Source organism: Homo sapiens, chromosome 4 (assembly GCF_000001405.40).
Source record: "Homo sapiens chromosome 4, GRCh38.p14 Primary Assembly".
Lineage (NCBI taxonomy): Eukaryota > Metazoa > Chordata > Mammalia > Primates > Hominidae > Homo > Homo sapiens.
Genome location: NC_000004.12, coordinates 166,960,154 through 166,973,927, shown reverse-complemented (window position 1 = coordinate 166,973,927; position 13,774 = coordinate 166,960,154). Strand labels below are relative to the sequence as shown.

Below are 13,774 nucleotides of genomic sequence, written 5' to 3'. Positions count from 1 at the left end.
CATAAGTAAAGATTTTTTTAAAAATGTGTATATATATTTATGTATTCCAAAGTCTTGTATCATAATGTTTCTTGGTAAAAGTTGTTTTATTTTCCTTAAAAAATTAAAAGTAACTTGCATTTCCATTGAGGTTATCTTTTGTCAGTCTTGGATCTATCTTTTCTAGCGGCCATTAAATCAACTTGTGATCAAACTACTCACTTTGTCTAGCGACAGTGTATTTAAGGCAAATTTATTTTGCATGAAATTTAATCCAGGCATAGCAGACAAATATTTTTCATTTCCATTGCATACTAATTATATTTCTTTCTTCTTATATTTCTTATATTTCATACTAATTATATTTCTTTTTATTAAATTAGTTGATAATGTTTAAGAATTTAATTGGTAAACCTCATCTGGTTTCAGCGACAATAACCTGTAATGAACTCAGTACTTTCTATTTAGCTAAGAGGTGAGCCCTCTCCCATTAACAAACTCTTTACTCTGCACTGTGCTATTATTGAGTATATTTTGGAGACACTTCTTAATATGGATATTGCATCATGGAAATAACAACATGTATTAATTCACTTTCACACTACAGTAAAGATACTACCTGAGACTGAGTAATTTATAAACAAAAGAGGTTTAATTGACTCACAGCTTTGCATGGCTGGGGAGGCCTCAGAAAACTTACAATCATGGTGGAAGGTGAAGGGGAAGAAGGCACCTTCTTCCCAAGGCAGTGGGAGAGAGTGGGGAGGGGCGCAGGGGAAACTGTCAAATGCTTTTAAAGCAACAGATTTCATGAGAACTCACTCACTATCACAAGAACATCATGGGAGAAACTGCCCCCATGATCCAATCACCTCCCACCAAGTCCCTTCCTTAACATCTGGGGATTACAATTCGGGTTACAGTTTAAGATGAGATTTCGGTGGGTAAACAGAGCCGAACGATATCAACATGTACATCTGAATATGCCTAAGCCATTGTTTGTAGTTTAAAATGAGAAAGGCATACTTTATTCCAAGTTTATCCAAACTACTGAATTACTTTAGTGTGATGAAAATCAAGTGTAATTTGATTCAGTTTTCAACATGTCACACCTGTAGTTATTTTATATATTGTTAGTAGTAATTTACTTATTGTTATATATTTTATATTATTTTATATAGTTTAATATATTGTTAAGACTGTAGTATAACTGACTCCAGTCAGTTGTTGATCAATAATTAAGAAAAATAACCAGCATGTGCTTGCTTTAAAATAAACATCCTTAAAACAATGTGGACTCACCACTGGGCAAATTTTAGTATTTATTAAATAGGTTATGAAGCATTTGACATAGGATTATAGAACTTTTCATTTTAATGTGTTTTAATAATCTTAAGAGCTATCGATGTGAAAATCATTGTTTTTGTTGTTTCTTTTTCTCCCCTCTGAGAGTTTTAAAAAGTGGGTGATGTTCTTTTGATTTGTCAGTTTTTCTTTTTGATGTGCTTGTCAAAACAGGGAGCTAACTTGAGACAGTCTGCTGAGGCTGCCAACCCGGCTATTTAGAATGTCATCATTTTACATTGTAACATTGCTGAGTGATGAAGGCCAGCTGGTGCATTTAAGTTTCTTATTGAAGATTTTCATCTGATTCATTATTGTGATTTGTGGTTTTGTACAGAAACACTTAATCATGCTTATGTAGCAAGCACTTCTGAAGCTGCTGAAGGCTTTCTCTTTCGCTGAGTAATTTGTGCTATCAATCTGCTAGTTTTGAAGAATTTCCAGCTTGTTGTATTATCAGTGTTTGTTTGCACAGGAAGTGATGCACCACAGAGGCTGAATTTATAGTAGTGGTTTGCAATGGGATAATGAACAACACTGCTTCCTTCATAATGTTATTATTATATAACTTGGATTAGCACAATTATTATGTATCTATCCAGTTATAATTCTCTCATACCATCTCATGAGCCAGCAGGAATCACTTGTGTTTTTGCAAAGCAAAAGTACACTGTACCTTGTGCCTTGGCTATGTACCTTCATTCGAAAGATACTGGCCTTTAATATTTTGGCATGTTTCCTTAGTAGTAGTAGTAATCTGACAGAGAGTAATTCTCCATTTGCCATTGGTGAAAATTGCCCTAATATTTGTGTTTAGTTGTAAGCCGAAGCTAATAATGTCTAGTATGTTTCAGGAAAATACATACGTAGGGAATGCATTACTTTAGTGCATTATTGGAGTATTCGTTGAGTTAGAGGAGTTATATTCTTAAGCAGTTAGTGTTTTGGTTTATAGCTTCTTTTAGATTCACATCTAATACTGAATATTGGGCAAATAAAAGGTATTCACAGAAGATCAAGATGAAAAATTATTTTTATTAAATACTTTAAATTATCTTTTATTATTAATTGAAAAAATACTTTCTCTTCTTGTGAAAAGAGAAATATGACTCCATATTTGCTTGTAATTGGGAGAAATAGACATGTTAAAAGCCACAGACATGAATGTAAGTACAAAATATCAAGTAATCTTCGAATCCTCTTAAAGACTTTTTTCTGCCTTTGCCCATGTTTGCCTTCTAAAAGAGTCAAGCACTTTTAAAAAAAGCACCTCTGTTCTCTTTTTGGAGCTAAACAATACAAAAATATATGTGACACATTGGAACATGGGGGGAAAAATAAAAACACAAAATAGCAGAATTATTTACATGATGGAAAACCTAGGGATAATCTATGTACAAATATTTATGTGTCAGAAAATTCATGAACCTTTTACCTTTCTCTGTGTCACATCTTGCAAACACCTCTAGACCTTTCTTCTGAAGTATGTAAATTATACATTGAAGTTGGGTGCCAGAAAACGTCTATGCCTATACTTCTGATGTGTTTCAACTTGTCTTTCCTAATTTAAAAAATCAAAGCCAGGTATGCTGGTATGCGCCTATAATCCCAGCCACTCAGGAGCTGAGATGAGAGGATCCCTTGAGTACAGGGGTTTGAGGCCAGCCTAGGCAACATAACAAGACTCTGTCTCTTATAAAACAAAAGTAACAAAAATCAAATTTAATAAGTCATATGACTGTAGTTGGAGTTGGCAATATACCAAATGGCCTTGATATATTTCTATTTCATGGGGTTGGGGTTTTGTAATTGTAATTTTATGATACACTATAAGTGATCAAGTCCTGTGTTACTCTGTTTTTTTTTTTTCTTTTTCTTTTTTGACGGTGTCTTGCTCTGTCGCCCAGGCTGGAGTGCAGTGGCACAATCTCAGTTCACTGCAGCCTCCACCTCCTGGGTTCAAGCAATTCTCCTTGCCTCAGCCTCCCAAGTAGCTGGGATTACAGGCAACACCTACCTCGCCTGGCTAATTTTTGTATTCTTAGTAAAGACAGAGTTTCACCATGTTGGCCAAGCTGGTCTTGAACTACTGAATTCAGGTGATCCACCCGCCTCAGCCTCCCAAAGTGCTGGGATTACAGGCACAAGCCACCGCTACCAGCCACTCTGTTTTTGAAATCTTGTTTTTGGAATTTATAGTTGTCTGTATGCCAAGAAACATAAGAGTGGTGGTACATTGATGTTAGAGTCACAAAGAATTCCAAAGAAGTGTAGCCATTCCATAATAAAGTCCCAAATCTGAACATTATAGGTAAGGAGCTAGTGTAAGTCAGCCTGGTGTGAAGATCTGTGTAACTAATAAATGACCAAAAAAGAAAATGTTTACATGTAGATGGAAAAGGTCAATGAACTCCTCAGACCAGAATCTGGTAAGATGATGAAGTGGGGGAGTCAGCATACTCAGACTACAGCTACTTTACCTCTGATAATTAAAGTTATTCATAATTGCATTTTGGCAAAAGAAAGACTAGTGTGTTTCTAAGCCTTGAGATATAATTAGCTGAAGAAAAATATTTGCATTTGATAGACTGAAATACTTCTAAATTCATGTGGTCATTATTGAAAGAATTATTTTTGTGTATATTGACATAGAAAAATCAATAAAACATAATGCATTTTTATCAAGATCAGTATCAAGATCATATTTTCCTAAGACTACCCATAAAGCTGCTAGAAGACATAATAGGCAATGGCTATAGGTATGTCCAATTGTTGAATTACCTAAAAAAAAGGAGGCTTTGATGGAATGACTGGTATTGGATTAGCCTTCTGTATTAGTCTATTCTCACCCTGCTATAAATGACTACTTGAGACTGGGTAATATATGAAGAAAAGAGGTTTAATTGGCTCATGGTTCCACAGGCTGTACAGGAGGCATGGCAGGGAGACCTCAGGAAACTTACAGTTATGGTAGAAGGGCAAAGAGGAAGCAAACACATCTTCCCATGGCAGCAGAAGAGAGAGAATTAAGGGGGAAGTGCTAAACACATTTAAACACATTTAATGTGTTAAAAGTGTTAAACACATTTAATGTGTTAAAAGTGTTAAACACATTTAAACAACTAGATCTCATGAAAACTCACTACCACAAGAACGGTGAGGAGGAAATTCACCTCCATGATCCAGTCACCTCCCACCAGGTCCCTCTCTCAACATTTGGAACTACAATTCAACATGAGACTTGGGTGGGGGCACAGAGCCAAAGTGTATCATTCCATCACTGGCCCCTCCAAAAACTCATGTCCTTCTCACATTTCAAAGCACAAGCATGCCTTCCTAACAGTTCTCCAAAGTCGTAACTCATTCCAGCCTTAACTCAAATGTCCAAGTCCAAAGTCTCTTCTGAGACAGTGCAAGTCCCTTCTGTCTATGAACTTAAAAATTTAAAAACATATTAATTACTTCCAAGATATAATGGAGGTACAGGCATTTGGTAATTACTCCCATTCCAAAAGGGAGAAATCAGCCAAAAGAAAGGGGCTACAGACCCCATGCAAGTTTGAAATGCAGCAGGGCAGTCATTAAATCTTTAAGCCTTGAAATAATCTTCTTTTACTCCATGTCTCACAACCTGGTGCAAGGGTTGAGCTGTCATGACCTTGGGCAGCTCCACCCCTGTGGCTCTGCAGGGTACAGCCTCCTTGGCTTCTTTAATGGGCTGATGTTGAGTGTTGCAGCTTTTCTAGGTGCATGGTGCAAGCTGTCAGTGGATGTACCATTGTGAAGTCTGGAGAATTGGCACAGTTCTCATACGTCCGCTAGGCACTGTCCCAGTGGGAGCTCTTTGTGTGGGTTCCAACCCCACATTTCCCCTGTGCACTGCCCTAGTAGAGGTTCTCCATGAGGCCTCTGCCTGTGCAGTAGACTTCTGCCTTGACATCCAAGCCTTTTAATAAATCCTCTGAAATCTAGGCAGAGGCTCCCAAACTTCAATTCTTGCCTTCTGTGCACCTGCATGCCCAACATCACATGGAAGCCACCAAGGCTTGTGGCTTGCAACTACTGAAGCAACAGCCTGAGCTGCACCTTGGTCTGTTTAGTCATTGCTGGAGCTGGAGCAGCTGGGATGTAGGGCATCATGCTCTGAGGCTACACACAGCAGCAGGGTCCTGGGCATGCCCTCCAAAAAGCATTTTTTCCTCCTAGGCCTCCAGGCCTGTGATGGGAGAGGCTGCCACGAAGGTCTCTGCAATGCCCTGGAGACATTTTCTCCATTGTCTCAGCTATTAAAATTCAACTCTTAATTATGCAAATTTCTGCCACCTTGATTTGCAACCCAGAAAATGAGTTTTTCTTTTCTACCACATGTTCAGGCTGCAAATTTTCCAAACTTTTATGCTCTGCTTCCTTTTAAAATATAAGCTCTAGTTTCAGGTCATTTCTTTGTTTATGTGAATGAGCATAGGCATTTGGAAGCAGCTAGGCCACCTCTTGAACACTTTGCTGCTTAGAAACTTCTTCCACCAGCTACCCTAAATCATCTTTCTCAAATTCAAAGTTCCACAGATCTCTAGAGGAGGGACACACTGCCATCAGTCTCTTTGCTAAAGCACAGCAAGAGTGATCTTTACGCTAGTTCCCAATAAGTCCCTCATCTCCATCTGAGACCACCTCAGTCTGGACTTCACTGCCCACATCACTATCAGCATTTTGGTCATAACCATTCAGTAAGTCTCTAGGAAGTTCCAAACTTTCCCTCACCTTTCTGTCTTTTTTTGAGCCCCTCAGATTGTGCCAACCTTTGCCTGTTACCCAGTTCCAAAGTTGCCTCCACATTTTCAGTTATTTTTATAGCACTGCCAGATGCCTTTTGCCAATTTTCTGTATTAATTCTCACACTGCAATAAAGAATTACCCAAGAGTGGGCAATTTATGAAGAAAGGAGGTTTAGTTGGCTTACAGTTACATGGACTATACAGTGGGACTGACTGGGGAGGCCTCAGGAAACTTACAATCATGGTGGAAGGCTGAAGGGGAGGCAAGCATGTCTTCACATGGTGGCAGAATAGAGAGAACAAAGGAGGAAGTGCTATACACTTTTAAACAACCAGATCTTATGATAACTCACTATCATGAGAACAACAAGGGGGAAATCTGCCCCCATGATCCAATCACCAGGTCCCTCCCCCAACATTATGAATTATAATTTGACATGAGATATGGGTTGGTGGACACAGAGCCAAACCATATCACCTTCCCTTCAAAAACCACTATAACAATGGGCACAATGTATGAAACAAACATATTCAGGCACTGGATAACCAGCTGTACAGCTCAATCTTTGAGTTAGAGGGAATCAGATTAGGCGGGTGCCAGACAACTATGCAGACAGGTAGAACCCAGAAGATGAACCCTGGTTTCCAAGCTTAGAATTCAGGGCTGCTGAGGTGACCAAATTTGCAGATCAGGTTGATAAAGATCAGGGAACTAACTACTTGGAGGAAGTACTTCATAAATCAGCATGGGGTAGTTCTCACATCTTTGACCAAATAGAGAAGATGCATAAGTTTAGGGCAAAATTTAGCTCCTAGGGAGCTGTGAATTCAGGGGATACCTAGAGGTTGCATGATGCTGGTAGGTATAAGAGTTTCAATGAATCAGAACATGGAAACCTCTTTTTGGAATCTATGGGGCTCATGACACTCTAAATGAATCAGTCTTTGGGAAATAGAGCTAATTTATCACTATAACAGTGTCATCAAAGTGTGATCTATAAACTCCTTGGGATCCCCAAGACTCTGCTAGAGGGTCAGTAAGGTCAAATTTTTTAAATAATAATGTTATTATTGTAATAATAATGTGTTTGCATTTTTTCCACTATGTTAAAATTTGCAGCGATGTTACCAAAACACAGTGAATAAACTTTCTAATACTTTAGCACAATTCAAGGCAGTGGCAACAAACGATGATTGTAGTCATTTTATTCTTCACTGCTCAGAAACTGCGGTATAAAATAACAGTTTCACTTCAGAATGTCCTTGACAAAGTAGTAAAATGTATTAATTTTATTAGCCTCAACTCATGAGTATGCTTTTGAATTATCTGCATAAAGAAATCAGAAGGACGCATAAAAACATTCTGCTGCAAAATAGAGTAAAATGGTTGTCTGAAGGGAAAGCACTTGTATGATTGAGCTGAAGACAGAACTGGCCACATTTTGTCACAGAATAACAATGTTATATGAAATAATGACTGAAAGAAAGCCATGGTTATTCAGAATTGGGCTTTTGGAGCATATATTTTCAATAATGAGTGAAGTAAATCTGTCACTTCAAGAAAACACTTGACGGGAAAAAAAAAAAAACGCTGAAAGGATGGATGAATAAGTGGTGATCCATCCGACAATGAAGTACTCATTAGCTCTAAAAAGAAATGAGCTATCCAGCTATGAAGAGACATGGAGGAAACTGAAACCCACATTACTAAGTGAAAGAAGCTAAGCTACATACATATTATATGATTCCAACTATATGACATTCTGGAAAAGGCAAAACTATGGAGTCAGTAACAAGATCAGTGGTTGCCAGGGTCTGAAGGAAGGAATGGAAAGGTGGAGCACAGAGGATTTTTAGAGAATTGAAACTATTCTTTGTGATACTATAATGGTGAAGACATGTCATTATACATTTACCCAAAACCCATGAAATGTATACCAAGAGTGAATATTAATGTAAACAATAGATTTTGTGTGATTATAATGTGTCAATATGGCTTCACTGATTATGATAAATGTACCGCTCTAGTGGGGATGTCGATAATAGGGGTGTTGAGATCCATTTGCTGAGTCAGCAAGTATATGAGAAATCTCTGTACCTGCTACTCAATATTGATATGAATCTAAAGCAGCTTTAAAAAATAAACCCAGAGACCAAATGTTTGATTAATGGCAATAATTTTTCAGACTTGATAAAGTAGACAAGTTATAGATCTGAGAAGTCCAGTGAATGTCCAGAGAAAAATTACACATTCCACAAAGGAGAACAATGATATCAATAATGACTAAGTGGTCATCAGAAACAGTGAAGGCTTGATGATAATAGAACGACACATTTAAAGTGCCAAAAGAAAAAAAATACCAAACCAGAGTCTGCAAAATTAACTTTCAAAATTGAAGAAGGAACAAAGAGATTTTCAGAAACAAAAAAAAAAAAACAATAATAGAAAATTCTTTGCCAGCAGACCTTTCACTACAAAAACTCTAAAGGCAGAGAGAAAAGGAGAGGGTAAGGAAAGAAAGAGAGAGAGAAAGATAAATACAGCCATGAAAACAACAGCAAAAGGCTGAGTGTTGGCAAATGGAAATGCACTATTACCCAGTTTTAACATTTTACATGAATTGGTAAAATATTGACTCTAAGTAGTCTGCATGAATTTTTGGGTATTTCAAATAATTAATAATAAAAAGCATGTTCTTTCCATAAATAATTACCTTTCTATTTTTACTAAGTTTTCCAGATAAACAGTCATTAGTCCACTAAAACACATTAGGGGCTTTTTCAAAAAAGTGTAAGAGCTCAAAATGGCTTCATTGCCAGATGCCTAGAGATTAGCCTTGTAAACACTGAAAAGTCCCAACACAAGAGAGATTGGTATTTTTGTCTTTACATCTTTACAGTTGTTCACATTCCTGGGCATGGAGTCACAAAATAATAGCATTCAAATTATTTTTAGTTAATATATATTTATTACTGATGACAGCTTAAAAATATCCTAGAAAAAAAATAAAATGTATTTCCTTATGAAAGAGAGGTCCAATTTATTGACTTCTTTAATTTTAGTTCTTTGATTTTTCAAGCTGTTTATTTTGTTTTCCTTTAACCTGTCCTGTTCTCTTTTAGAACTGGAATATTTTGGCAAGCCTAGTAGATTTGCGTGCCTTCCCTCCATCTCCTCATAGAAATATTATTATATATAATATCAACTATATATTTACATACGTATATTTAGATGTGAAATATTTGGGGAATCAAACTCATCCTGTTGTATACCATATGATGAAATAGAATACAAATATGTGATGAGAACATTACTTGAGATCCTGTGTTCCCTAATTGTTTAAAATTATTAGTATTTTGTGTGCATTTTGAGTTACCATTTTTCTAAGGACCTAGAAAATATTTCATATAAATCAATAACAATATGGTTGAGACTTAGGAGAATACTGTAAAATATCTGATGTCTAAATACTTTTAAATCCCATAGCAACATAGGTTAATCTGCTCCTCTTTAGCTTTGTTCCTATTTTTACTTAGTTTTTTTCTCTCTCCTCAGAACATATGCAATAATGAATACTGATAGGAAGAAATGAAATGTTTATTCACAAGTAATACCTCAGGAGAAATTAAAGTTATTTTGAAAATAATACCTTTAAAATACAGGACTGTTTATCCTTTAATTAATTTTATTCATTCAAAATTTATTGATCATCTAGTATATATTCACCTCAACACAAGGCAGTAGGTTTGCTCTCAGAGTACACAATCTTATATAGAGTATAAAAAAGTACAAGATAATGGACTAATTATTATGTGAAAGGAAGTGCAGATTTTATGAAAACAGATAGGAAGAGTACCTGAGTTTAATCTTTGCATCCTGAGACTATAATTATGACTATAATTTATATTTTAAATAATATTACTAATCAAGGTGTTTGACCCACTGACTCATGATATCTAATATCTGATATAATAATTGTCTCTCATTTATGCTTTTGAAAGTCAGGAGAAAATAAAATCTGACATTGGGATAAAAAACAAGTTGCAAATCATGCCAACACTGTATTCATATTCATGTCCTCCCACTGACAAATAAATAATGTTAGCCAAAGGCTTTGCATAAAAGGAAGTCAACAACATTTTGTGTGCAGAATATTTAATAGCAAATTTTAATTTGTTTTTTTAAATTGAATAAAAAAAGAAATAAAGTGTCAGTTTTACATGAATCTTGCCTATTCAGTATCATCCCCTGGTGCTTAAGTTAATGAATTTTAATACCAAAGACTTTTTGGCTGCTTGAAGGCCTCAAAAATCCTCTTAGTGTTACGGTGCTAACACTAAATCATTGAATATATTTCATTATCAACAATGATGATTCAAGAACAAAATTCTAACTGACAGAAAATAATGTTACCTTCTTATAAAGAGTACGAAAGAAGCATCTGTGTCATTCTTTTGAGGTTAACATCTCAATTTCCACATAACACATTACATTAAATAAAATAAACATCATTGCTCACTCACATTTCTATTTCTCTTTTCAAATCACATGGATTTTTTGCTACCTGTCAAAAACATCAAAAAGATGCTCTTACTTAACTAATTTTAGTAATGGTAGTCAAGTTCAGGACAAAAATTTTTATGATCAGGGAGAAAGTTATGAGGTCTGATTTCAAGTGACAGAAATAGTAGAGCTGAAGCTTAAAAAAATCAGGAATTAAGATTTGATGATGCAGGTTCCTAGGACATATACTTGGAGAAACTTGGACTGCAGCAAAGAGAAGGCAAATTGTCCTACCTAGAACATAGTGTGTGTGAATGACTGCATGACAAAAGGAATGGCATTTATTCAATGATGGATCTAAATAAAATAACATACAACAAATTTTGAACTGACCATGTTGTGGTCTTTGCATGTTGACATTCTCATGATTAAATGAGCTGATGCCTCTTATTTTAAAATTATTCTGGGATTATTAGAGTCTGATGAAGTTTCATCTGGTGCATCACCATGCTATTTCCCATAGTTAGATTTTGAAAATAATTTGTTCTTTGATTAAAAATAGAATAAGTCATTTTCAACAGCTACCTAGGCTTCTCTGTCCCTGAGACCTTGTAGGGTCTATGGAAGTCGTGAAAATGGTGACATAAGTAGTTTTCTAATGCTGAAGTGTCATGCACTTCAAGATAATATTCTAGAATTTAGATACAAATTCAAAGAAAATAGGTTTCCACTATAGCACTTTCTTCTTTCTCTTCCTTTCCTACATCTGTCCTCTCTAAAATATTTCATTGCAAATGGCATTCTTGTTAACTATAGAAGGTTCTCTAATGCTGCTGAATATCACGATACAAACACTGAAAAAAGTTCTAGTTTAAAACAGATGATGGTTTATTACTCACAACAATAGCAGTACTCAGAGAAGTGTCGTTTCTACAAGTTCCCTGGGCCCCAATACCCCCAGGGTGACATAATAAGGGCCATGTGACACCTTAACACACTGTGGTTTCTATTACTGAGAGGACATCTAAATATCTTATAAGCAGTGTGGTAGACAGAACAATGGCCTCACAAAGACATCCAACATTACCAAACTTGTGAATATCTTACATGTCAAAGAGCAATTAAGGTTGCTAATCAGCTGACCTTATGATATGTTAAATTTCATGGATTATTGGAGTAGGCTCATAGTAATCATAAGGGTCCTTAAATGTGGGAAGGGAGGAAGAATAGTCAGCTTCAGAGTGATGTGATTTGAGAAAGACTCTGCCTTCTTTGAAGAAGGAAGGGGGACAGCAGGGAATCCAAGCTAAGGAATGGAGGCAGCCTATGGGAGCTAGAAAAGACAAGGACTAATTCTTTCCTAGAGCTTCCAGAAGGAAAGCACTGCTATGATGTTTGAACTCCTGCAATGCTCACAGAAACTGGAATAGGAATGATAATGACTCTCATTTCTCTGATGAAGATGCTCAGGTTTAGAGCAGCTGGTAAGTGAGGCAGAAGATTTTGAACAACTGGTCTTCCTCCAGGGCTTATTAGTTTAACAATTAAAATAATATTTTTGACGTTTTTGACTTTTTTGTTTGTTTGATTCTTGAATTGCAAGGAAAAAATGTCCCGGAAACTATCTTTTGGAAGGTTTTGAAAGACTTTCTTGTATAAGCATTAAGGAATATCTCATAGAACTCAAAGAGCAGAATTGATTCCGGCCTCAGGAATAAACTTGAGCCAGAAGCTTGAATCATATCTGAACACTTGATAAGCTTTTTTTTTTTCAATTTTTCTTCTTAAAAGGAAATGACATCTTGGTTTCTTTGCCCATGACTATAAAATTTATATATATCCAAATTCAAGAGACAAGCTGAACAGGTCAAACAAAAAACACATTTTATTTTTATGACCCCCCACTAAATTATCCTCCAGAAGTTTTCTTCAATTAATACTTCAATCCTCAAATTTGGGAGTGCTCAATTCTGCATATCCTCTGTTAGATTATATGCTTAAAATGTTTGTACATTTCTATGGCTGCAAATGTATTCTATGCACTCATGTTTTAAAATTTTGCAGTTTTTTTTTTTAATTTCGTGGGTAAGACTCACGTATTTAAAGGTTTTTTTTAAAATTGATGTTTTAAAATGCTGTGAATTTCATGGGTATAAATGTGATTAGATTATTTTGTACTTCGCCAAGGTTGACAGTTTTTTAAAATGTTTTCTTCTTTTATTGTATGATTATATCATTTGCCTGTCTTTCCATATTTATCCATTTTGTTAACATTATGAATACATGTAGTTCAATAAATGTAAAACTCTAAATCTACAACTGCCAGATTATTTACCCTTAGAAACAGTAATGGTCATCTCTAATCTAATCTACAAGCTTTGTTGGATCTAATTATCTAATATGTGATAAATTCTCCTCAGCCCTTGATTCTTCCTAAAACATCGTATCCCACTTCATTCCAACTATTCAGTTCCCAGTTCCCTGAAAGACTGACCAGGTGGGATTTCTTAAAACTCGATCCCTCCTGTGCCTGTCCACTGCCAAGTGTCTTTCTCCTGCTATTCTTTGCACATAAATATTCTCGTGCATCCTTCACTTATCAGTGTTCATCCTATTCTGGGTACAAACACAATTTGTCACATTCTGATCCCAAGCATTGATTTAGCTTATCTCACTAAACTGGGTGAGACCTCTCTTGTTTTAACAATTCCAAACCCAATTGTCACACTCAGGGAAGAGGCTGAGATGCCTGAGAAATCCCTTTATTTGTATGGCATAGTTTGAGTAGCTGTCCTCCACTATCAGACTCACTGCCAAAGCTGCTAAGATTGATTATTTTATATTCTGGGGTAATGAGTATTCTGAGACAGCAGACACATATATCCATCCTTCAGAGTAAATTCCAAGTGCTTTATATTCAGTGAATTTTTTATGATGTTCCCCACCTAAAGTTATTTCTCCTTCTTCTATATTTCATAGAAATTTATATCCCTCATTGTGGCCTTTCACTATAATATGAGTGATACCTACCATCTGCTAGGGTCTATAACTCTCCTTGTCCTTTTTTAATCTTTGCATTCTCCATATCAGCCTGCACAAAGCCTTGCTTTGATGTTAAAGTATAACAATTTCCAAATTAAGATAAATAAAATTGTTTTAAAAAGTATCTTTG

General features: G+C 35.9%; 1 protein-coding gene across 12 annotated transcripts in view; it reads left to right on the top strand.

Annotated features, from left to right (window-relative positions):
- SPOCK3 (SPARC (osteonectin), cwcv and kazal like domains proteoglycan 3) overlaps nucleotides 1–13,774 on the top strand; it is a 501,562-nt gene that overhangs the window by 261,018 nt on the left and 226,770 nt on the right. The window lies entirely within an intron of this gene.